The sequence below is a fragment of the Homo sapiens genome, chromosome 10, assembly GCF_000001405.40.
Source record: "Homo sapiens chromosome 10, GRCh38.p14 Primary Assembly".
Lineage (NCBI taxonomy): Eukaryota > Metazoa > Chordata > Mammalia > Primates > Hominidae > Homo > Homo sapiens.
The window spans coordinates 102,530,860-102,557,035 of record NC_000010.11 but is presented as its reverse complement, the minus strand read 5'-3'; the positions used below and the strand labels follow the sequence as shown (position 1 = coordinate 102,557,035).

The window sequence follows — 26,176 nt, the reverse complement described above, 5'->3', positions numbered from 1 at the left end:
AACCTCCGCCTCCCAGGTTCAAAGTGATTCTCCATTCTCCTGCCTCAGCCTCCTGAGTAGCTGTGATTACAGATGTGCACCACCATCCAGCTAATTTTTTGTATTTTTAGTAGAGACAGGGTTTCACCATGTTGGCCAGGCTGGTTTCGAACTCCTAACCTGAAGTGATCTGCCTGTCTCGGGCTCCCAAAGTGCTGGGATTACAAGTAATGAGCCACTGTGCCCCACCCATCTTCCTTCCTTCCTTCCTCCCTTCCTTCTTCCCTTCCTTCCTCCCTCCCTTCCTTTTTTTTTTTTTTGAGTCTCACTCTGTCATCCAGGCTGAAGTGCAGTGGCACGATCTGGGCTCACTGCAATCTCCGCCTCCCGGGTTCAAGCGATTCTCCTGCCTCAGCCTCCTGAGTAGCTGGGATTACAGGCACGTGCCAGCACTCCCGGCTAATTTTTGAGTTTTTAGTAGAGACACGGTTTCTCCATGTTGGTCAGGCTAGTCTCAAACTCCTGACCTCAGGTGATCCACATGCCTCGGCCTCCCAAAGTGCTGGGATTACAGGCCTGAGGCACCATGCCTGGCCCATTTTCTTATAACTAGAAGAATCCTAACTAAATCACCCTAATCTGTCTATATCTAGCCATATCTGGAAGCCTTCACTGCCTCTGGATGCTCTTCATTCTCAGATCTCTCCCATTTCTACTTCCTTTTCTCTCCAGCTCAGCTTCCACCTCTGCGCAAACCTCCCAGAGGGTAGCTGTCTGCCAGCAGGTCAGGGCTGTTATAGAAGCCATCTGAGTCATGCTTCAGAGCAGGCTTCCAAGGCTGCCTCATACAGCTCCATGGCTGGCTGTGGGCATCTCCGCCCCCGCCCCCACACCCACCGGAGCCTCATCGTTCCCCTTTCATTCGCCTCCCACTGCCTTGATGCTATTTCCAAGGCTGGGTTGTAGGACTGCGGATGTCACTTAGATCTGGAAAAGCAGGTCTAAACAGTTCACTTGCTTGATTACACTGCTGAGCATGTTCTCACGTGCAAATGGGTGGGTGGAGTGCTCCCCATAAACTCACTAAGTTTAAGGTGGACAGCACAAGTGAGGCAAGACCATCAAACAGAATTACAACACTATGTACGTAGGCAGGTATATCTGTGTACACATCAAACATAAATGACACACGTTCTGTACAGTACATATGCATGTAACTCTTGTAGCGTGTAACCACACAGGGGTAGAGTAATGCCTACAAGTCACAAAGGAGGTGCTCTGCAGCAGCAGCTGAGTGATCTGCTCTGAGAAAACCTGATAGACCTACACCCAATCTTACAAAATATTTACAATAAGGGGCAATTACTTACACTATAGAAAGATTCTTCACCTTATTAAAGGATTTACTACAAGGTCCCACTAAACTGCATAGGCTCTACCGGACTTAGAATAGGGTTTGATTTGCCTAAGACTTCACAGGCAACTACATAAATCAACTACAAAAAACCAAGGAGCCACACCTGAACTGAATGTTTTCAGCTATATAATATGATGTACAAAACGAGGTAATTTTATTTGTATCAATATTACTGATTTTCCGTGTGAGTAAGATAATGCCTCCAAATGTCATCATGTCAGCTGAGGCTGCATATCTGATTCAGGGACGAGCAAGACATTTCCTAATACAGTTTTGCTGTTAAGTAGGGTCTGTCATTGAGGAAAAAAAAAAAAAAAAGACCAAGGTGTCCATCTTGATCCATATAAAGTTTTTTTTTTTTTTTTTTTTTGTGAGACGGAGTCTCACTCTGACGCCCAGGCTGGAGTGCAGTGGCGCAGTCTCAGCTCACTGCAAGCTCCATCTCTTGGGTTCATGCCATTCTCCTGCCTCAGCCTCCCAAGTAGCTGGGACCACAGGCGCCCACCACCACGTCCGGCTAATTTTTTTTATTTTTAGTAGAGACGGGGTTTCACTGTGTTAGCCAGGATGGTCTTGATCTCCTGACCTTGTGATTCGCCCGCCTCGGCCTCCCAGAGTACTGGGATTACAGGCATGAGCCACTGCGCCCGGCCAATCCATATAAAGTTTTTAAAGACTGAATAATGATAATGATTGCAGGTAAAACATAGTACTTACTGCGTACCAGGCACATTCTAAGTGTTTTACAGGTATTAATTCACCTCTCGATAACTTCATGCGGTTACTATTATCCCTGCTTTATAGCTGAGCAAATGGATGTACATGTTGCCCAAGAAGGCAGTAACTGGCAGAGCCAATATGAATGCAGGCTATCTGGGTCAGGAGGCCACACTCTTAAACCACCACACCATGCTGCTGCCTTGATCTGGCAGTCACAGGCAGATGGAGAACAGTTCAGGCAAGAGGAGTGGGGATGCGGAGCTACTTAAGCTATTAGCAATGAGTTCAGACACACAGTGCTAAGGATCTAACTATGCAGTGAAATCAAACAAAAGAAAAGAATGATGTTGGAAGTCAGGAGACGGTAAGAGTATTGACTAAAAGGAGACGTAAGGGAGGTTTCTAGAGAACTGGTCTGTTTCTCAATTTAGGTGCTGGTTACATGGGTGTATGTGGTTTGTGAAAACTCATCAAGCTGTACAGTTATGTGTACTTTTTTTTGCTTTGTTTTGTTTTGAGACAGAGTTTTGCTCTTGTTGCCCAAGCTGGAGTGCAATGGCGTGATCTCAGCTCACTACAACCTCTGCCTCCCAGGTTCAAGTGATTCTCCTGCCTCAGCCTCCCGTGTAGCTGGGATTACAGGTGTCCACCACCATGCCCAGCTAAATTTTCTATGTTTAGTAGAGACGAGGTTTCACCATGCTGGCCAGGCTGGTCTCGAACTCCTGACCTCAGGTGATCCAACCACCTCGGCCTCCCAGAGTGCTGGGATTACAGGCATGAGCCACTGCGCCTGACCTGTTTTTGTTTTTGTTTTTGTTTTTTGAGACAGGGTTTCACTCTGTCATTCAGGCTGGAGTGCAATGGTGCAATCACCATTCACTGCTGCCTGTACCTTCCAGGCTTATGCGTAATCCTCCCACCTCAGCCTCCTGAGTAGCTGGGACCACAAGCACGCGTCACCACAATGGCTAATTTTTAAAATTTTTGTAGAGACAGAATATCCTTATGTTGCCTACGCTGGTCCTGAACTCCTGGGCTTAGGCCAACCTCCCACCTTGGCCTCCTGAAGTGCTAGAATTACAGACATGAGCCACCGTGTCTGGCCAAGAGCTGCCATTCAGAGCTACACTGTCTGGGTTAAAATTTGCCTTTGTGGCCGGGCGCGGTGGCTCACGCCTGTAATCCCAGCACTTTGGGAGGCTGAGGCGGGCGGATCACGAGGTCAGGAGATGGAGACCATTCTAGCTAACACAGTGAAGCCCCATCTCTACTAAAAACGCAAAAAATTAGCTGGGCGCGGTGGCGGGCGCCTGTAGTCCCAGCTACTTGGGAGGCTGAGGCAGGAGAATGGCGTGAATCTGGGAGGCGGAGCTTGCAGTGAGCCAAGATCACACCACTGCACTCCAGCCTGGGCAATAGAGCGAGACTCCATCTCAAAAAAAAAAAAAAAAATTTGCCTTTGTACCCACTAGATGTGTGATCTTGAACATGCAGCTCAACCTGTGTTGTCTTGCTTGCTGCAACTGAAAAGCTGGTATATCACAGTCCCTAACCTCACATATTCAATGGCACACAGAGCACAAGTCTAAATGTTAGTCATTCCCATCACCATTTAGGCCCATAGCCATGGTCTCCTATCTTAAATCAGTTACCATTTACTTTTCTTTATCATTTTCCCATTATTTAAACAATTTACTATTATTTCCTACCATGTTCTAAAAAAAATTTAAAGTAGATTTGTTTTACCTGTTATTTAAATAATACAATCATATCACAAGAAATCTGGAAAATAGAAAGTCAAGTATTACACTTTTAGGAGTGTAGTCACCCTGTCCCGTTCTGACGTCCCTAAAGTGATCTGCAGACACAAACTACAGCAGGCACATTATAACGACCATAAGTGGGGCCATCAGGTACAGAAAGGGCCTCAGAGCACATATTAGTCAATGTATACTCAACAAACAGCCACAACTTTTATTTTATTTTGAAAATTTCCAATCCTACAGAAAAGTTAAAAGAATGATACAATGAATAACCAAATACCATTCACCCAGCTTCACAAGTTGTTAACATTTCGCCTCATTTGCTTTAGCTTCTCTTCATACACAGATGTTTTATTTTTTGACAATTAAGTTAAATCATTTGAGTCATTTGACAATTAAGTTAAAGACATCAGGTCCTTTTATCCGTTAATACTTTAGCCTTTATCTCTAGCAACAGGGACATTATCCTGTATAACCATAATACCATAATCACATCCAGGGAATTTCACATACAGTACTATTAACTAATACACAGTGTAAATTCACATTTTTCCAATTGTCCTTAAAAAATGACCCTTTTTTTTCAATTCAGGATCTAATCAAGGATCAACAATGCATTTAAACTGCCATGTTTCCTTTAATGTAGAACAGTCCCTGCCCCTTGCCTTTTTATGTCTTTCATAGCACTGGGGTGCGTGTGTGTGTGTGTGTATTTTTTTTTTAGGTGGGGTCTCACTGTGTCGCCCAGCCTGGAATGTGGTGGCACAATCATGGCTCACTGCAGCCTCAACCTCTTGGGCTCAAATGGTCCTCCTACCTCAGCCTCCCAAGTAGCTGGGACTATAGGCATGCCACCACACCTGGCTAATCTTTAATTTACAGGGTCTTGCTTCATTGCCCAGGCTGGTCTCAAACTCCTGAGCTCAAGTGATCCTCCTGCTTCAGCCTCTCAAACTGCTGGGATTAGAGCATTGACATTTTTGAAGAATATAGGCATTTGTCTTGTAAAGTGTCTCACAATCTGTATTTGTCTGCTTATAACTTGATTCAGGTTAAACATTTTTGGGAAAATGCTACATAGTTGATGTTACATACCTCACACTGCAACACATAAGAAGGTACATAATAAGGTCGGGCACAGTGGCTCACGCCTGTAATCCCAACACTTTGGGAGGCTGAGGCGGGTGGATCACGAGGTCAGGAGATCGAGACCGTCCTGGCTAACAAGGTGAAACCCCGTCTCTACTAAAATATACAAAAAATTAGCCAGGCGTGGTGGCGGGCACCTGTAGTCGCAGCTACTCGGGAGGCTCAAGCAGGAGAATGGCCTGAACCCAGAAGGCGGAGCTTGTAGTGAGCCGAGATCGCACCACTGCACTCCAGCCTGGGGGACAGAGTGAGACTCCATCTCCAAAAAAAAAAAAAAAAAAAAAAAAGAAGGCACATAATAATAATTTGTTCCATTATTAGTGCTGTTCTGTTTCACAACTACTGTGATTGTTACTTTTTTTTTTTTGATACGGAGTCTTGCTCTGTTGCCCAGGCTGGAGTACAGTGGTGCGATCTTGGCTCACAGTAACATCTGCCTCCCGCGTTCAAGCGATTCTCCTGCCTCAGCCTCCCGAGTAGCTGGGATTACAGGTGCCCACCACCATGCCTGGCTAATTTTTGTATTTTCAGTAGACACAGGGTTTCACCATGTTAGCCAGGCTGGTCTCGAACTCCTGACCTCAGGTGATCCAACCACCTCGGCCTCCCAAAGTGCTGGGATTACAGGCGTGAGCCACTGTGCCTGGCCTGCCCTAGTCCCACTTCTGGCCAACTCAACTGGAGCCCCACAGGAAGGTTTGGAAATCAGTGTGTTGACAAGCTCCTCGAAGAGGTTGATGGGCAGCCAGATTTAGGAACTCCTGCTTAGAGAAGACCCATTGTAGCCTCCATGAGGGGACTGTTCCACAGGGCATACAATGGTAGGTGGTAGTTATGGATCTGCCTCATGTGCCAACAACTGGCTCCCACAGGTGTGAAATGCGGGCAGAGGGGTTCAACCTAGACAGGTCTATTGTACCCCAAATGTATAACCTACTCAAGGTTTAAAAAAAGAAGTCACTGGCCAGGCGCGGTGGCCCATGCCTACAATCCCAGCACTTTGGGAGGCGAGGCGGGCAGATCACCTGAGGTCAGGAGTTCGATAGCAGCCTGACCAACATGGAAAAATCCCATCTCTACTAAAAAAACAAAAAAATTAGCTGGGTGTGGTGGCGCATTCCTATAATCTCAGCTACACAGGAGGCTGAGGCAGGAGAACCACTTGAACCTGGGAGGCATAGGTTGCAGTGAGTCGAGATTGCGCCATTGCACTCCAGCCTGGGCAACAAGAGCAAAACTCCATCTCAAAAAAAAAAAAAAAAGTCACTGTAACTACAGAAGCTACCAGATCTATGGTTCTCCAAATTTAGTCTCTACCAGAAGCACCAAGGAACATCACCCTCAAAGATTCTGAGTCAGACATCTGCAATGGGGCCTAGGAATATGTATTTGCAACAAGCTCTCCAGGTAGTTCAGAGGCAGGTGGTATAAGAACCATGCTTTGAGAGACCATGGCTTGCTCTGAACTTTATCTGTGATATTTCAAGAGCAAAAGGTTGGGAAAAGTATCTTGGCCTTCATTTGAAGGCTACTTACAAAAACAAAGAAACAAAATCTGAGATCAGATGGGAAATGCTTCTGAGCAATTAGCCACAGAGAAACATATATCAGATGACATGAAAGAAACCCTCCATGAAACACGACAAGGGTGCAGGGTGGCACAACATAACACAGAACTTGCTGCTGGAGGGCACAGGGGAGTACCCCTCTCTGCCATGGCCCAGTTGGTTTTCCAACCAGGAAACACCAGGCAAAACAAGCCATCCTCATGGTAGAATTGGGGCATAGTACTCCCAGGAAAGGCCACTCCACAAACATCAAAATATAGCTGCTAGTACTCAAAGTCAACCAGGCTCATGGCAAAAGGACCAGCACAGCAGCCAGCCCTGGCCTCCTACCTGACTGGAACACGTATCGTGCCAAGCCCTGCATTAACTCTGCGGGCCATGTTGGTGGGGCAGACTCCCCAGTTTCTCTCTTCAGACGAAAGGTCAACTCAAAGCCAAAACCACTAGGTCCATCTGTTCCTGTAAACCTGAAAGACATAAAAAGCAAGTGTTTTAAGCTCAATTACCTTAGGAAAAACACTCTCTTGAAAGTCTAAAGTTCTCCCCCTTTTTATGGTGGCCTCAGTATCCAAATCCTCCATTCAGAGGAGTATCCCAGGATGTGAGCCTTGTGGGGAGGGAACCTGAGAAGCCCATAAGGAACCAGAACTCTTGCCTCATCCTCCTGCCAGCTGCGGGTATGTGGATGTGACCTTGGCCTGGCCAAATTCTACTGCTGGCACTCTGAATTATGAGTTCCAAATTTTGTGGCTCTGGAACATTCCTTCCTGGATGATTGAGGCAACACTGCTGAAAATCTCCCTTGTTCATGCTCCTTATTCCTTCAAGCTATTAATAGGCATCTACTTTGTTTGCTAAGGATACATGTCCTGTGAGCCACAAGGCTATATGCTCTGTGATATGGTTTGGCTCTGTGTCCCCACCCAAATCTCATCTTGAATTGTAATCCCCATAGTCTCCACGTGTAAAGGGAGGAACCAGGTGGGAGATAACTGGATCACAGGGGTGGTTTCCTCCACAGTGTTCTTGTCATAGTGAGTGAGTTCTCACAAGATCTGATGGGTTTATAGGGCAGTTTTCTCTGCTTTTGCCCACTCTCTTGTGCCTGCCACCCTCTTCTCCTTCCACCAACATTGTAAGTTTCCTGAGGTCTTCCCAGTCATGTGGAACTGTGAGTCAATTAAACCTATTTTCCTTTATAAATTACCCAATCTCAGGTATGTCTTTATATCAGTGTGAGAATGGATTAATACACTCTGTGAGGATGAGACCCTTTCTCCACTCCCACCTCCACTCTGCCCACAAGGGTACAACCTTGGGTGGCACTGGCTGGCCTCCAGACTCAGCATTTGTGGACAGGTCCTAAGGCAGATTCCAAATACTGGGTGGGCCCATATTCTTCCTGAAACTCAGCACCCAACACACACTCCTCAATTAGCACAAGCTCTTCCTGAAACCTGGCACTCCACATGTACTCTTCAATTGCTGGAACCCTAGAGATGCATGGGTTGCCCTCCCTTCCCATCCCTCAGTGACCCAGAATAATGAGGATGACTGCTTCTGTGGCCACAATTCATTAAAGTGACAATGAGAGAAAGCAGGAATCCCTGCCTCCCTGTTTGTAGGAAACACTCAGGAGCCCCAAGTCTCAGGGAAGTCCCTGAAAGGGACTTCCATCAGAGAGGGCAGTGATGTGGATCAGAGAGCTGGGCCTGGCTGGTGGGGTGCCACACCTCCCCAGGTAAGGGAAGCATCCAGGGAGAGCTACATGAGGCTTGCCAGCATGGGAAGGTTAAAATTAAAATACATTCATGATATAATTTTCAGTAATTATATCTTGTACAAACATGAGCCACAATGATTATACACCTGTAAACTCGTCAGCATACAAACACAAACCATAAACTAAGATGACAGCCAACCAAGCTCCTGAAACAGGTGATCAGAGGTGAGAATTCTCAAGGGCTGATGATGCAGTCAATGCCCAACCCTAGAATTCCACGTGGCATCTTTTCTTCATCATGATCATCATCACCCCGAGAGGCAAGGCCAGGAGATGGGATAGAAAGAGATTCCCAAGTCTCAGAAGCTGACATCTGTCCTAGTTTTCTGTGCCTGGGTGAACCCAGACCTCCTGCACTTTGCAGGGAAAGATCACCTCTGAGAAGCTAAGTTCTCCAATGGACTGAAAAGGTATCATTAGAAACCATCATGATCAAACTCTATGTATGTATGTATCTATCTATCTATCTCTCTATCTCTCTATCATCTATGTATTTTTTTGAGACAGGGTCTCGCTCTGTTACTCAGGCTGGAGTGCAGTGGCGTGATCTTCAGCTCACTGCATGTGTGAACTCCTGGGGGCTCAAGCGATCCTCTTGTCTCAGCCTCCCGAGTAGCTGGCACATCATGGCACCTAGCACCTGGCTAATTTCTTTCTTTTTTTTTAGTAGAGATAAAGTCTCCCTATGTTGCCCAGACTGGTTTCAAATTCCTGGGCTCAAGCAATCCTTTGGCCTCAGCCTCTCAAAGTATTGGGATTACAGATATGAGCCACCATGCCCAGCCTCTCTTTCTTTCTCTCTTTCTTTCTCTCTCTCTCTCCCCCCCGCCTCTCTCTCTTTCTTTCCGAGACAGCATCTTGCTCTATACAATGGTGTGAACATGGCTCACTGTAGCCTTGACCTCCCGGTCTTAGGCAATCCTTCCACCTCAACCTCCCAAGTAGCTGGAACCACAGGTGTGCACCACCATGTCCAGCTAATTTTTAAAACTTTTGTAGAGACAGGTCTCAACACATTGCCTAGGCTAGTCCTTGAACTCCCAGGCTCAAGTAATCCTCCCGCCTTGGCCTCCCAAAGTGCTAGGAACACAGGCAAGAGCCACAGCACCTGGCCCAACTATGTTTAAATGAAGTATCCACGGTTTCATTTTCCCCAGGTATCTATAGCAATGTGGGAAACAGAATCCATTTTGAGGGTACACACGTGGAATTTTGGAGACCAGGCCAGCAGAAGATGCTTGGACAACACATTGTAAGCTATTTTATTTCCTTGCTGAATTACCCTGTTTGAGGTCAATTCAGTGCAGGCAGGCTGAGGGAACAGCTATCAAACTGAAGTTGGAAGAGCTACCTCCCTGGAGCTGCAGGTTTGGGAGGGGTGTGAAAACATGGAGTAATGCAAGATTGACTAGAGTTAAAACTCTGTAAAGGGAGATGGGTCAGTAGGGCAAAGGGAAGATTTTAAGCAGCCACCAATTAGAGGCAGCTTTGTAAAATGTATTAGACTATTACTCCAGGGCTTTCATCTTGGGCCAAGAAACGTACATGATTTCTAACCACAAAAACTTGAGAAACAGACTAAAAGAAACTTGTTCCTCTTCGGCTGCACAATGGGAAGAACCCTCAAATGCAGAGAAAGAAATCACTGGATCAGATGCATCCACACAGCACCACTTCACTAAGGAGGGTCCGTGCACACGCGCCTAGAGGTGTGCATGCGTGCACACGCATGTGTCCACCATCTGCCTCCACGCAGGGTGCTTTCTGGGCCAGTTCTGTGGTGGGCAGGCCAGCCCTTACTTGGCTGGGTGGGAGGGACAGGCCCGGCCAGATGGTCTCCACCTGCATTTGATTACCACCCACGGGCTGGCTGGACGCAACCTCTAAACCCTGAAACATGAGTTTGGAATGGCCCAGCCTCAGGATAAACACACGACCTGAAGTCTGTCAGAAGTTCTCTTTTTCAAAGCAGGCTGCCCAAGCAATCACCAAGTGACAAGGTCATTCCATCTTTAAAGTCTCCTGGAGGGGCCTGGCTTGGTCTGGACTTCCTCACATGAGGGCTTCTCTAGCCAAAGTGGTTTTGTCTGAACAGAGAATGAAGCCCCTCCTAGGGAGCGGCTGTCTCTCACATCTTCCAAGAAAGGAAAGTATAAGGGGAAATTGGCATGTGCTGCAGAAGGTGGGATCTGGGTCAGAGCAAAGCATTTTTCTAACACAGAAGTCTACTAAAATACTGGCTGGTGGTAACTGGGGCCAGTGGAATTTCTTCCTATAGAAATTAAAGAAAGAAAGAAAAAAATTCTTCCCAGGCTGGCAGAGTGGGGGTAAGGGGTTCTAACTGTCTTATTGCAAAAGGAAGGATGAGATAAGACTCTCAAGATTGTTTCCTGCTCAAGAACCCTGGATCCTGTTCACGGGGGTGTCCGGGGGAAGGCTGGCTTTGTCCCAGCAGTTTGGCAAGTCTGCCTGATGGCTGTGCCAGCCCCAAGAGTAACATCAAACCAAAGACAAGAACACATGCCTTGAATCCTAGACACACAACAGCCTGACCATCAGAACTCACCCAAAGGTCTCCCCCAGAGTACCTCACTAAGAAGGTATCAGTGAGCATCCAAGAGCCCAAAATGACTGCTGAAAGTCAGCATCTCATGCTCAACACCATTATTTATTTATATGTGAGACCGAGCCTCACTCTGTCTCCCAGGCTGGAGTGCAGTGGTGCGATCACAGCTCACTGCAGCCTCTGCCTCCTGGGCTCAAGTGATTCTCCTGCCTCAGCCTCCTGAGTAGCTGGGATTACAGGTGTGTGCCACCACACCCAGCTGACTTTTGTATTTTTAGTAGAGACAGGGTTTCATTATGTTGCCCAGGCTGGTCTCGAACTTCTGACCTCAGATGATCTGCCCGCCTCTACCTCTCAAAGTGCTGGGATTACAGGCGTGAGCCACTGTGCCCAGCCCATTATTTATTACTAAGGAAATGCAAATCAAAACCACAGTGAGCTACTGCCCCTCCACACCCTCTATCATAACTAAGAGATAGTAAGTGTTAGAGAGGACGTGGAGAAATAGGAATACTTGCACATCATTAGGGGGAATATAAAATGATGGAGCTACTTTGGAAAAAGAGTTTGGCAGTTCCTAAAAAAGTTAAACAGAGTCACCATATGATCCAGCAATTCCACTCCTAAGTATATGCCCAAGAGAACTGAAAACCTGGCTGGATGCAGTGGCTCATGCCTGTAATACCAGCACTTTGGGGGACCGAGGTGGATGGACCACTTGAGCCGAGGAGTTTGAGGCCACCTTAGGCAACATGGCCAAACCCCGTTTCTACAAAAAAAAAAAAAAAAAAAAATACAAAAATTAGCCAGGCATGGTGGCTCACACCTGTAGTCCCAGCTACCCAGGGTGGGGGTGCTGAGGCAGTGGGAAAATCATCTGAGCCGAGGGAGGTCAAGGCAGCAGTGAGCCTTGATGGTGCCACTGCACTCCACCCTGGGTGACAGAGTAAGACCTTGTCTAAAAAAAAAAAGAAAAAAGAAAACCTGTTCACATGAAAACGTATACATCAATGTTCATAGTAGCATTATTCATAGTAGCCAAAAAGTAGAAACAACCCAAATGTCCATCAACTGAGGAATGGATAAACAAAATATGGTATACCTGTACAATGAAATATAACTTGGAAATAAAAAAGAATGAAGTATGCATACGCTATAACATGGATGACCTTGAAAACATCATGCTAAGTGAAAGAAGCCAGATACAAAAGACTACCTATTGTATGATTCTATTTTTATGAAATGTCCATAATAGACAAATCTATAGAGACAGAAAATAGGTTGGTGGTTGCCAGAAACTAGGGTGAGGACAGAATGGGGAGTGACTGCTGATGGGTACAGAATTTCTTTTTGGGATGATGGAAATTCTTTTTTGTTGTTGTTGTTTTTGAAACAGAGTCTCACTCCGTTGCCCAGGCTGGAGTGCAGTGGCACAATCTTGGCTCACTGCAACCTCTGCCTCCTGGGTTCAAGCGATTCTCCTGCCTCAGCCTCCCAAGTAGTTGGGACTACAGGCGCGTGCCACCACACCATTAATTTTTGTATTTTTACTAGAAATAGGGTTTCACCATGTTGGCCAGGTTGGTCTCAAACTCCTGATCTCAAGTGATCTGCCCGTCTCGGCCTCCCAAAGTGCTGGGATTATAGGCGTCAGCCACCGTGCCTGGCCTGGGAGATGGAAATGTTCTGGAATTAGATAATGTACTGGTTGTGTAACCTTATAAATATACTTAAAAACCAATGAATTACACACTTTAACAGGGTGAATTTCATGGTATATGATTTATTTTTAAAAAGCTGGCATCTCAGGTATACCTGATGTCATATCGTTTAACTCTCTATAACTCTAGGACTCAGCCATTGTTATACTCATTTAACAAACAAATGAGAAACACTGATGGAGTTTGTGTAATAGTCCATAAATCACAGAACAAGTGATAGAGCTAGAACTTGAAGTCTGTATAACTCCAAAGCTCATCTTTTTTTTGTGAGACAGGGTCTCACTCTGCTGCCCAGGCTGGAGTATAGCTGCACAATCAGGGCTCATCACAGCCATGACCTCCTGGGTTCAAGAGATCCTCTCACCTCAGCCTCCCGAGTAGCTGAAATTACAAGTGTGTGCCTAATTAATCTATTTTTGCCTAATTAAGTCTATCTTCTTATGGCTGTGTGACCAGAGGCAAGCTATTTAACCTCTTCTGTGTGTCAGTTTCCTCATCTATAAAATGGGGATAATAACAGTAACTGTTTCATAGAGTTGTTATTGGGGATTAAACATTTGGAAACAGTACTCAGAACACTATAAGCATTATATCACTTACATTAAGTGAAGAAAGCCAGTCACAAAAGACCATATGTTGTATGATTTTATTTATATTACAGGAAAAATTGTATAATTCGTAATATATAATATAAATTATACTTACATCAAATGTCCAGAATGGACAAATCTATGGGGAAAGTGGATTAATGGTTGCCTAGGACTGGGGTAGTGGGGATGAATTGGGAGTAACTGCTAATGAATATGGATGGAGTTTCTTTTCAGGGTAAAGAAAAAGTTCTAAAATTAGATTGTAGTGAAGGTTACATAACTATAAATATGCAAAAAACCATGAAAGCGTACATTTTAAATGGGTGAACTGTATGCTACATTAATTATATCAATAAATGCTTTATTCATTTATTTTTTAATTTGGAAAAAACTCAAAAACCTGATAGAAAAAATTCACAAACGAGATATACAGATATCCCTTAAGCATAAGACAAGATGTTTGACCTCACACATAATAAAAGAAATGCAAATGAAAACAATGAGATACCATTCTCACCTATCAGATTGGCAAAAATTAGTAAGTATGACATCATATTCTGTTGCTGAGGTTGTGGGGGAAGAGACACTCTCATATGTTGCCGGTATGGATATAAATTAGTACAACTTATATGGAGGAGAATTAGGCAGTACCTAATAAAACTACGTATAGGTTTATACCTTTGGATCCAGCAATCCCACTTCTAAGAACTTATAATTGCAAAATACTGGAAATCACCTAAATGCCCATTTATAGGAGAATGACTCAAAGTGCTGTAAGAAAATGCTGCTGTAAGAAAGAATGAAGAACTCTACAAATTGGTATAAACACTGTTAGGCGAAAAAAGCAAAAGAGGCTGGGCACGGTGGTTCATGCCTGTAATTCCAGCACTTTGGGAGGCCAAAGCCGGTAGATTGCTTGAGCCCAGGAATTCGACACCAGGCTGGGCAACATGGCGAAGCCTTGCCTCCACAAAAAGTACAAAAATTAGCTGGGCATGGTGGCACGTGCCTGTAGTCCCAGCTACTCAGGAGGCTAAGGCAGGAGGATTGCTTGAATCCAGGAAGCAGAAGGTACAGTGAGCTGTGATTACGCCACTGCACTCCAGCCTGGGTGACAGAGGGAGACTCAGTCTCAAAAAAAAAAAAAAAAGAGCAAAAGGATATTATAGTATGTTTTTGAGGAAGAAAGAAAGGAAGATAGGAGCCAGGCATGGTGGCTGACATCTGTAATCCCAGAACTTTGGGAGGCCAAAGCAGGTGGATCACCTGAGTTCAGGAGTTCAAGACCAGCCTGGCCAACATGATGAAACCCCATCTCTACTTAAAAAAAAATATATATATATATAGGCCGGGCGCAGTGGCTCACATCTGTAATCCCAGCACTTTGGGAGGCCGAGGTGGGCGGATCATGAGGTCAGGAGTTCAAGACCTGCCTGACCAACATGGAGAAACCCTGTCTCTACTAAAAATACAAAAACTAGCTGGGAGTGGTGGCGTGCACCTGTAATCCCAGCTACTCAGGAGGCTGAGGCAGGAGAATCGCTTGAATCCGGGAGGCAGAGGTGGCAGTGAGCCGAGATCACGCCACTGCACTCCAGCCCAGGCAACAGAGTGAGACTCCATCTCAAAAAAAAAAACGCCAAGGTGGGTGGATCACTTGAGGTCGGGAGTTCAAGTCCAGCCTGACCAACATGGAGAAACCCCATCTCTACCAAAAATACAAAATTAGTCGGGCATGGTGGCGCATGCCTGTAATCTCAGCTACTCGGGAGACTGAGGCAGGAGAACTGCTTGAACCCAGGAGGCAGAGGTTGCAGTGAGCCAAGATCGCACCATCATTGCCCTCCAGCCTGGGCAACAAGAGCGAAACTCTGTCTCAAAAAAAAAAAAAAAAAAAAAAATTAGCCGGGCATGGCGGTGTACACCTGCAATCCCAGCTGCTAGGGAAGCTGAGGCAGGAGAATTGTTTGAACCTGGGAGGTGGAGGTTGCGGTGAGCCGAGATCACACCATTATACTCCAGCTTGGGCACCAAGAGCAAAACTGTCTCAAAAGGAAAAAAAAAAAAAAAAAAAAAAAAGCCGGGCGCGGTGGCTCACGCCTGCAATCCTAGCACTTTGGGAGGCCGAGGCAGGCAGATCACCTGAGGTCAGGAGTTGGAGACCAGCCTGGCCAACATGGTGAAACCTCGTCTCTACTAAAAATACAAAAATTTGCCAGGCGTGGTGGCACATGCCTGTAGTTCCAGCTACTAGGGAGGCTGAGGCAGGGGAATCGCTTGAACCCAGAAGGCAGAGGTTGCAGTGAGCCGAGATCGCACCACTGCACTCCAGCCTGGGTGACAGAGCGAGACTCCATCTCAAAAAAAAAGAAAGAAAGAAAGAAAGAAAGAAAAGTAGGAAAATATACATTACCTACTCATTTCTGTAGAAAGCCATGTGGGAAGGATAAACCAAAAATGAATGAGATGGATTCTTACATACAGTAGGTGGGAAGGCGGTAGAAAGCACTGCAGGGTGTGGAGGTGGGTAACATTTATTTGAATATACCTTTTTGTATAGTTCTCACTTTTGGTTTTGGATCCGTGATAATGCTTTCACATACTCAAAATAAATGAAACAGAATCAATGAGGAGGGAGAAAATGCTAAAATATAATACAAACAGAAATTAATGAACCTAACAGTATTTCAAATCAACCATATAACCACACTGAAAGGGGGAAGAAAAGATATAACCCAAGTAACTTTTTTTTTTCGAGATGGAGTCTTGCTCTGTCACCCAGTCTGGAGTGCAATGGCGCGATCTCTGATCACTGCAACCTCCGCCTCCCGGGTTCAAGTGATTCACCTGCCTCAGCCTCCCGAGTAGCTGGGATTACAGGCGCACACCATCACGGCCAGCTAATTTTTGTATTTTTAGTAGAGACAGGGTTTCACCATGTTGGCCAGGCTGGTCTCGAGCTCCTGACCTCAAGTGATCCACCCACCTTGGCCTCCCAGAGCGCTAGGATTGTAGGTGTGAGCCACTGTGCCTGGTCTGAAATATATATATATATATATTTTAAAGGCAGGCAGGAATGAATGCCACGGGTATAGTATTTATTTAGTTAGTTAGTTATTATTTTTTGAGACAGAGTCTTGCTCTGTTGCCCAGGCTGGAGTGCAGTGGTGTGATCTTGGCTCACTGCAACTTCTGCCTCCCAGGTTCAAGTGATTCTCCTGCCTCAGCCTCCTGAGCAGCTGGGACTACAGGTGTGCACCAACACACCTGGCTAATTTTTGTATTTTTGGTAGAGACGGGGTTTCACCATGTTGGCCAGGCTGGTCTTGAACTACTGACCTCAAGTGATCCACCCACTTGGGCCTCCCAAAGTGCTGGGATTACAGGCATGAGTCACTGCACCAGGCCCCCATAGGTATAGCTTTAGAATTGGAGGTATCAGTATGAATTCATGGTATTTAAGAGAGAAACCAATATGGAAATAGAGTGGTATGTGTATATGTGCATGTGTGTTTCCTAGTTCTGGCCACTGGGAGCAGTGACACTCCAAGAGCAATGATAATACCTAGCCTCCGGATCATGGCTTCTATATACCATTCTCCACTAAATAAAACCAGGGCTTCCTGGATAAATGGCTGATTCCTGGGCTGGCAAAGTACAAAATGATTCTGAAATTTCCTACTGTGCCAGAAAGTAAGGAAGTGGTTCAGAGAATGATGGGAACATGCCAAAAGTAGAGAGAAGCCAAACTCAAGGTTCTCACTGGCCAAATCAACAACAATCTGAGCATTAAATTAAAGCATCCTAACAAATTATAATCTATTAATTAAAATAAAAATCTATGAGTCCACACTGATTGTAATGGACCTAGTGACACTGGCTCTAAAGATTTTGGACTTGCCAGCATCTGTAATCGCATGAGCTAATTCTTTCTCCTAAATCTCTTTATAGATTTGTATTTATATTATGTGTATAGATAATATATAGATATGTGGATGTGCATCTCCAATTGTTTTTCCTAGAGAGCCCTAATACATTGATATAAATAAATGAATAAGTAAGTAAATATGGAGAAGACTCTTCCTTACAGTAAAATCTCAATATCAATGAATGAATGTAGAAACAATTATCAAATGAGAAGTCACCATTTGACAACTATTGTAATAATAATTCAGGCAAGAATCATCAACGGGTGGTAAAAATAGTGGGTAAAAAATCTGATGAGAAACAAGATACTGACATAGCCTCAAAATGCCTTCCCACAAGTTACTTATTAATTATTAATGGAAAAGCAGTAACTATACAGAAGAGAAACCTAGCAGACACCACCTTAACCAAACAATCAAAGTAATTAGACATCATCAACAGTAATTAGACAAATCAACATCAAGTGCCTCCTGATATGATCACTAAGAAGGGCACAACATGTCTGTGATATTCCTATGGAGAAATACATACACTGATCCTACGCATGAGGAAACATCAGATAAATCCAAATTGAAGGACATTCTATAAAATAACTGACCTGTACTCTTCAAAAGGTCATGAAAAACAGAAAGATTGAGGAAACATTTGAAGGCATCTAAGAGATGTGACAATTAAGTTACTAAAAAAGACTCTGGAGTCACTGAAGCAGGGTGACCAACTTGTCTTGTTTGCCCAGGACTTTTCTGGCTTTAGAACTGAAAGCCCCACATACCAGGAAAAGCCCAGGCAAATGGGGACAGTTGGTCAACCGATCCTGAAGTGTCCACTGTCTGACCCGCACAAAGCAAAACACTGCCACACTTAAAAAGCACTGAATATGCATCAAGAGCCACCAAAATGTCAGCAGTGCCAGAGCACAGTCTCTGAAGCCAGGCTGCCTATGCCCAAATCCTAGCTCTGCCACCCTTCCTGGCTGTGTGACCCTTGGCAAATCACTTAGCCTCTCTGTACCTCAGTTTCTTCATCTGTAAAATGTAGATAAGAAGAGTTTACTTCTCTTCTTATCTACATTTCACTTATATACCTTCTCACTTCTAATGTAAACTATGAACTTTGGGTGGTGATGATGTGTCAACGTAGGTTCACTGACTGTAACAAATGTACCAATCTGGGTAAGGATGTTGACAGCGGGAGAGGCTGCATACATGTGTGTGTGTGCATGCATGCGTGTGGTAAGCAGAGGGTGTGTGGTAGCTCTCTGTACTTTCTGCTCAATTTTGCTGAGAACCTAAAACGGCTCTAAAAAAGTCTTTTTTCAAAAACGAAGATAATTGTAGTTTCCATATGGTAGCTACTAAAATGAGTTAACATATAATATAGAAAACACTTAGAACAGCACCTGGAACACAGTAGATCTTAGTGTCAGTGATTACTTACAGTAGCAGTTTCCAGTTCTGCTAATTTACCTAAGGGAATAATCTTACATTTGGAAAAAAAAAAGCCTCTTGCATAAGTATATTCAGTAGTATTTATAAGAATAAAAAATCTAGAAACAATCTAACTGTTCTACAAGTAGCGGTATTATATGAGTTCTGGCACATTATGTGGTAGGACATTACAAGTCACTAAAAACAATGGTTCTGAAAGCAGAGGGACTAATCTTTGAGAGGTGAGGGGTTCTCTTTCCACCTCTTACTGGTAAAGAGGAACAGGAACTTTACATCAGAACCCCACTCTATAGCCTCTAATGTTTTCTGTTCACCTATTATTCACTATAGCATAAAAATAAACTCCTTTCACAATGGTCATGAAATTAGGACCCTTACACATTGCTGGTGGAAATGTAAGATGATACAGCTGCTATGGAAAACAGTATGGCGGTTCCTCAAAAATTAAACATAGAATTGCCACATGATCCAGCAATTCTACTTCCAGGTATATATCCAAAAGAACTGAAAGCAGGGTCTTGAATAGAAATTTGTATACTGATGTTCAGAGTAGCATTATTAGCAATAGTCAAAAGGTAGAAGCAACCCAAGAGTCAGTCAATAGATGGATGGACAAGCCAAATTGGTATACACATATAATGGAATATTAGCCTTTAAAAAGGAAGAAAATTCTGACATCTGCTACAACATGGATGAACCCTGAAGACATTATGCTAAGTGAAATAAGCCAGGCACAAAGGGACAAATGTCATATGATTCCACTTATATGAAGTACCCAGAGTAGTCACATTCATAGAGACAGAAATAAGATGGTGGTTGCCAGGGTTTGGAGGAAGTGAGAAGGGGGAGTTATTGTTTAAGGGGTACAGAGTGTTTCTGAAAGTGGAAGGTGGTTATGGTTGCACAACAAGGTAAATGTACTTAATTCCACTGAACTGTAAATCTAAAAATGGTTAAAATGGTAAATTTTGGGCTGGGTGCAGTGGATCATGCCTATAATCCCAGCACTATAGGAGTCCAAGGTGGGAGGACTGCTTGAGCCCAGGAGTCTGCGACCAACCTGGGCAACATAAGGACATCCCATCTCTACAAGCAATTTAAAAATTAGCTGGCCATGGTGGTGTGCAGCTGTGGTCCCAGCTACTCGGAGTCTGTAGCAGAAGAATCACTGAGTCTGGGAGGTCCAGGCTGCAGTAAGTTGTGGCTGCACCACTGCACTGCAGCCTGAGTGACAGAGCAAGACCTTGACTCAAAAAAAAAAAAAAAAAAAAAGGTAAATTTAAATTATGTAGGCTGGGTGCAGTGGCTCATGCCTGTAATCCCAGCACTTTGAGAGACCAACGCGGGCAGATCACCTGAGGTCAGGAATTCAAGACCAGCCTGGCCAACACAGTGAAACCCTCTCTCTGCTAAAAATACAAAAATTAGCTGGGTTTGGTGGCACATGCCTGCAGTCCCAGCTATTCGGGAGGCTGAGGCAGGAGGATCAGTGGAGCCCAGGAGGCAGAAGTTGCCGTGAGCTAAGATCACACCACTGCACTCTAGCCTGGGCAACAGAGTAAGACTCCATCTCAAAAAGTATAATAATTTAAGAAAAAGATAAGTTATGTACATTATGCCACAAATAAGTAGTTATGAAAAAACACAAAACAAAATTCAACATAAAGTATGATTCAAAATGTTGATGTAAATACGAAATTTTAAATGTGAGTAAAATATATAAGGGAAAAAGAAAATGCAGGCCAGGCATGGTGGCTCACGCCTGAAATCTCAACACTTTGGGAGGCCGAGGCAGGTGGATCACGAGGTCAAGAGATCGAGACCATCCTGGCCAACATGGTGAAACCCTGTCTCTACTAAAAATACAAAAATTAGCCAGGTGTAGTGGCAGGCGCCTGTAGTCCCAGCTACTCGGGATGCTGAGGCAGGAGAATTGCTTGAACCCGGGAGGCGGAGGTTGCAGTGCGCCGAGATTGCACCACTGCACTCCAGCCTGGCAACAGAGTGAGGTTCTGTCTCAAAAAAAAAAAAAAAAAAAGCAATAAAATTATTATAGTGGCTACTACAGTATAATTTTTGTTTTTCAAACTTCTTTGTATTTTCCAAAATTTTCTACCATTTATAATCTCCTGGCCAGGCACAGTGGCTCACGCTCACGCCTGTAATCCCAGCACTTTGGGAGGCCGAGGCAGGTGGATCACCTGAGGTCAGGAGTTTCAGACCAGCCTGGCCAACATGGTGAAACCGTCTCCACTAAAAATACAAAATTACCGGGTGTGTTGGTGGGCGCCTGTAGTCCCAGCTACTTAGGAGGCTGAGACAGGAGAATCTCTTGAACCCAGGAAACAGAGGCTCTAGTGAGCTGAGATGGTGCCACTGCACTCTAACCGAAGCGAGACAGAGCAAGACTCTGTCTTAAAATCATCAACAACATCATCATCATCATCATCATCATCATCATCATCATCATCTCCAGCCTAGACTATAAACCCCACAAGGGCAGGGTTGTATCTTGGTCACTACTGTATCTGCAGGTCTAGCGTGCAAGGCTTCACATAGTCTGTTGCTAAGTGTTCATATGCATATGCCAAGGACATGGCAAGAGAGGCCCAAGGTCAGGCCCCTTCCTCTGGGGGTGGCCTGGATGCTTCCATTGGTCTTTGAAGCAAGGAATGCCAGGCCAGCCACGGTGGCTACTGACCCTGCAAAGGTACCAGGGTTAGGCATTATGGCTCAGTCTCAAGCCCAGTGATGGTATCAGAAGAAAGGGAAGAGGGGACCATGTGCCTCCGGAAACACATGGCATAGGAGGCCAGCCCAGTCCAACTCCAGAACCAGGGGTGATGTCACTTCTTCCCCTACAAAAGCTCTTATTTCTTTCTTTTTTCTTTCTTTTCTTTCTCTTTTTTTTTTTTTTGAGACGGAGTCTCACGCTGTCACCAGGTTGAAGTGCAGTGGTGCAATCTGGGCTCACTGCAACCTCCACCTCCCAGGTTCAAGAGATTCTCCTGCTTCAGCCTCCTGAGTAGCTGGGACTACAGGCGTGTGCCACCATGCCCGGCTCATTTTTTGTATTTTTAGTAGAGACGAGGTTTCTCCATGTTGGCCAGGATGGTCTCGAACTCCAGACCTCATGATCCGCCTGCCTCAGCCTCCCAGAGTGTTGGGATTACAGGCGTGAGCCACCGCGCCCGGCCCTGTTGTCTCTTTCTTTCCCCCTTCCTCTTCCCCTTCCTCCTGGTCCCAGGCTGGATGGAGAACTGGGCAGACCCATCCTTTATCCTGGGGTTAGTCCTCCTTTCCAACCAGCCCTTCTCCTTGGGAATCAGGCTGAGTTCTCACCTTACTGGGCTAGCTATTCCCTCCAGAAGAATGGACCTAGATCCTGTGCAGGGGGTAGGGGGTGGAGGTGGGCATGGGTGGTATAGACCTGCAGACCTTTTCCTTCAGTGGCCTCCCTCTAAGTGCACACACATACACATCTCCCATGCATGTCTCCAACAGGCATAGGGACAAGCCCAGCCTTAGGCCCAGCTGGACCCAGAGACTATAGAGAAACCTAAACCGCAGACCTCCTGTTGCTCTAGGGCTTTACAGAGGCTGCCTGCAGCTTCTCTACAATCTCTCTGTATCCCAGGGCAATGCCAAGCAAGTCCAAGGACCACTCACCCAAACTCCAGCACATGCTTGGAATGCCAGCTGCCTTTCCTATTTGTACCGTTTCCTGTCAATCTGCTCTAAGACCTTCAGTGCTGGCCCAAGCCCCATGATGCCCCAGGACTAGCCACTGCTCTGCCCCTTACACCTACGCAGAGGATGAACGACAGTCTGGCGAAGGGAGGCCGTCATTGGAAACCTCTTCACTAGGAAAGCAGAACGTGAACATTTCCCCTTGCGTGGCCTCCGCCTGTCCCCTAGGGGACTTCCTAGGTGGGGAAAGAGGGACAAAGTCAGAGTTCCACTTTCTTTTTTTTTGAGACAGAGTCTCGCTCTGTAGCCCAGGCCAGAGTGCAGTGGCACGATCTTGGCTCACCACAAGCTCCGCTTCCCGGGTTCACGCCATTCTCCTGCCTCCGCCTCCCAAGTAGCTGGGACTATAGGCACCTGCCACCACACCGGCTTATTTTTTGTATTTTTAGTAGAGACGGGGTTTCACTGTGTTAGCCAGGGTGGTCTCGATCTCCTGACCTAGTGATCCACCCGCCTCAGCCTCCCAAAGTGCTGGGATTACAGGCGTGAGCCACCGCGCCTGGCCCAGAGTTCCACTTTCTCCAGGACTCAGTCTCCGCCCCTCCTCACCACACGGTCTCCTTCAGCAACCTCATGAAATGGCTTCAGCCACCACACCTCTGTTGAGGATTCCCAAATCTATACCCAAGCAAAGAACCAGACCTAGATACTTCTAGTTCAGTCTACACAAATCCAAACTCAGTATCTTACCAAACCTGATCTTTCCATCTTTACCTAGCTTGAAGAAGAGCACCACTGTGGTAGCCTGAATAAATGTTCCCTAATGCCCACATTTGAATCCCTGGAACTTGTGATATGCTACCTTAAATGGCAAAAGGGACTTTGCAAATGTAATTCAGTTAGGGATCTTGAGATGGGGATGATCTTACAGTGAATTACCTCGGTGGGCTCAATCTAATCCATGAATCCTTAATGAAAGAGACAGGTAAAAGATCAGAGAGATGTGACGTGAGAATTTGTCTGTTGTTGCTCACTTTGAAGATGGAGGGAGTGGCCGTGAGCTAAGGAATGGACATGGCCTCTAGAAGCTGGAAACAGCAAGGAAACGAATTCTCCCTCAGGCACTTTGCTTTTTTTCAAGACAGGGTCTTGCTCTGTTGCCCAGGCTGCAGTGCAGTGGCATGATCACGGCTCACTGTTGCCTCAGCCTCTTGGGCTCAGGTGATCCTCTCACCTCAACCTCCCAAATAGCTGGGACCACAAGCACAGGCCACCATGCTTGGCTAATTTTTTTTTTTTTTTTGTAGAGATGGGGTTCCACCATGTTGCCCAGGCTGGTCCCGAACTCCTGGGCTCAAGCCATCCTCCTGCCTCAGCCTCCCAAGGTGCTGGGATTACAGGTGTGAGCCACCGCACCCAGCCTGGCACCTTGATTTTGACCCAGTGAGATACATGTTAGACTTCTGACCTCCAGAATTATAACACAATAAGTGTATATTGTTCCAAGACACTAATTTTGTGGTAATTTTTTATGGCAGCAATAGGAACTAAAAAATCCACCAGGCCAGAATCCCAAGAGTTATCCTCCAGTCCTCCCTCTCCCCATGTGCAGCTGGTCAGACAGTCAGTGAGTTCTGGCAACTCTGCCCCCTCCCTTCTCAGTGGCCCTCAATCTGTCCTCTTCTCTCCATCTCAACTGCCACACCATGCGTTAGCCTTCTGCATCCTTCACTTGGGTGGCCAACAACCTCTTCCTCACTGATCTCCTGCCTCCTGCTGTTCAGTGTTGTTCCCAAAATGGAAACGATACACCTTTCTCCTGCTTAAAAATCCTCCAAAGCCCATCCCTATCCCCAATCTGCAGAACAAAGTCCAGACTTCTCAGTAAGTCTCACTAGGCCACCGTGAAACAGGTCCTATACCTCCTCTGCCTTATACTCTAGGCCAAATGAATGGACTGGCAGATCTGTGGACACACTGATGACTCCCTTGCCTCCGAAACTCTGCGCAGGTGTTCTCTTCTTTGCCCTCTGCTCATCTTCAGGAAGGCTCAGGTGTCACCTTCTCTGAGTATCTTCTGTTTGCCCTTCCATTCCCCACTGTGCAAGACAGATCCCTGACAGCTCCAAGGAAAGGAATTCTGCCAACACAAACCTGAGGGAGCTGGGAAGCAGATCCTTCCCCACTGGAGCCCCAGATGAGGATGCAGCCCGCCTGACACTCTGACCACAGCCTTAGGAGGACCTAAGCATAGCACTCAGATGAGCTATTCCTGGACTCCTGGTGCAAAGGAGATGTGAGAGAACAAATGTGTGTTGTAAGCTGCTGATTTGCAGCAACAGAAAACCAGTATGTCCACCCTGCTCCCTGCCCTAGAGGGCTGGCCTGTGTGGGGCTCCTGGGCCCTCTGGCATCTAATTGGGTTAAGCCAGTGAAAGTTCTAACAGGAGCATGGTGGCTCACGCCTGCAATCCCAGCACTTTGGGTGGCAGAGATGGGAGAATCACTAGAGGGTCAGGAGTTCCAGACCAGCCTGGCCAGCATGGTGAAACCCTGTTTCTACCAAAAATAATAATAATAAAATAGCTGAGCATAGTAGCATGCACCTGTAATCCCAGCTACTCAGGAGGCCGAGGCAGGAGAATTGCTTGAACTCGGGAGGCAGAGGCTGCAGTGAGCCAAGATCATGCCACTATGCCACTGCACTCCAGCCTGGGCAACAGAGCAAGACTCTATCTCAAAAAAAAAAAAAGTTCTCACAGGAAATCAGCAGAAGGGAGGAGAGTGAGGCTAGAGTTCCCTCCCTTTGGGATTGCCCGAGGTGCTATGCCCCTTGATTGAAGGTCACTGCTAACAGTCACTCTCAAGAACACTCAACACAACTTTCTCCTCTAGGTTCTTGGATCCCACTCCCTCTTCTGGTCCCTTCAGCCTTAGGAGAGTGACAGCCAGGCCAACCACTAGCCCTGGGTTACATCACTATCCCCTATGCTATTCCTTTATAAATATACCTTCCTCCAATATCTTACTTTGAAGGCACCAATCCCTTATTTGGGACCCTGACCAAGAGAGGGCTCTCATCACTTCTTCCTTACCCCTGTGCAAACCTCCATCACAGGACTCTCCTTGCTGTATTGCAGCTGCCTATCTCTCCCATCAGGACAGGATTTACCCCTTTGTACACCCCACTGACTGGCACAGGAGTGCTCAGTGAAAGCAGCCGAACAAAGGAATGGGCATCAGCTCAACAAGAAAGGTGACCTGTCCAGCAAAGCCAGTTGGGACTACAAAGGCTGGGCGATGGGAGTAATGAGGCTGAACCAGTCCTGCAATTTTGAGCTTCTGATGTTGACTCTGGGGGTGCCTGGCCCCTTGGTTAAGACTCCAAGGCTCTCCAATTTTTGATCTGTCAGTTTACACAATTAAGAAATTACTATTTTTATTTTTTATTCTTTTAGAGATAAAGTCTCACTCTGTTGCCCAGGCTGGAGTGCAGTGGCATGATCGTGACTCACTGCTGCCTCAGCCTTCCAGGCTCAAGTGATCCTCCTGCCTCAGTCTCCTGAGTAGCTGGGACTACATGTGTGCACCACTACACCTGATTACATTTTTTTTTTTTTTTTTTTTTTGGTAGAAATGGGTTATGGGGTATTGCTATGTTGCCTGGACTGGTCTCAAACTTCTGGGCTCAAGCAATCCTCCTGACTCAGCCTCCCAAAGCGCTGGGACTACAGGTGTGAACCACCATGCACAGCCAAGAAACTACAATTTTCTTGATAATTACTATTATCATTTATTACAAAACCAGGAAAACCATATATAGTCCTCTATTTGACCACTGCTTTCTTGTTG

General features: G+C 45.8%; 1 protein-coding gene across 12 annotated transcripts in view, besides 1 other annotated feature; it reads right to left on the bottom strand.

Moving 5' to 3' along the window:
- Positions 1 to 26,176, bottom strand: part of SUFU (SUFU negative regulator of hedgehog signaling) — a 130,717-nt gene that overhangs the window by 76,500 nt on the left and 28,041 nt on the right. For all 12 annotated transcript variants that reach the window (XM_047425335.1, XM_011539863.4, XM_047425336.1 and 9 more), the window contains one exon: positions 6,930 to 7,066. In XM_047425335.1, the coding sequence (XP_047281291.1) occupies positions 6,930 to 7,066 (137 nt within the window). The remainder of the gene's footprint in view (positions 1 to 6,929; positions 7,067 to 26,176) is intronic.
- Positions 19,700 to 19,859: an enhancer, noted in NCBI's record as "active region_3940". NCBI's record gives its function as "activates an Ori minimal core promoter by ATAC-STARR-seq in GM12878 lymphoblastoid cells {active_cell/tissue: GM12878}" and the evidence as "EXISTENCE:reporter gene assay evidence [ECO:0000049][PMID:35858748]".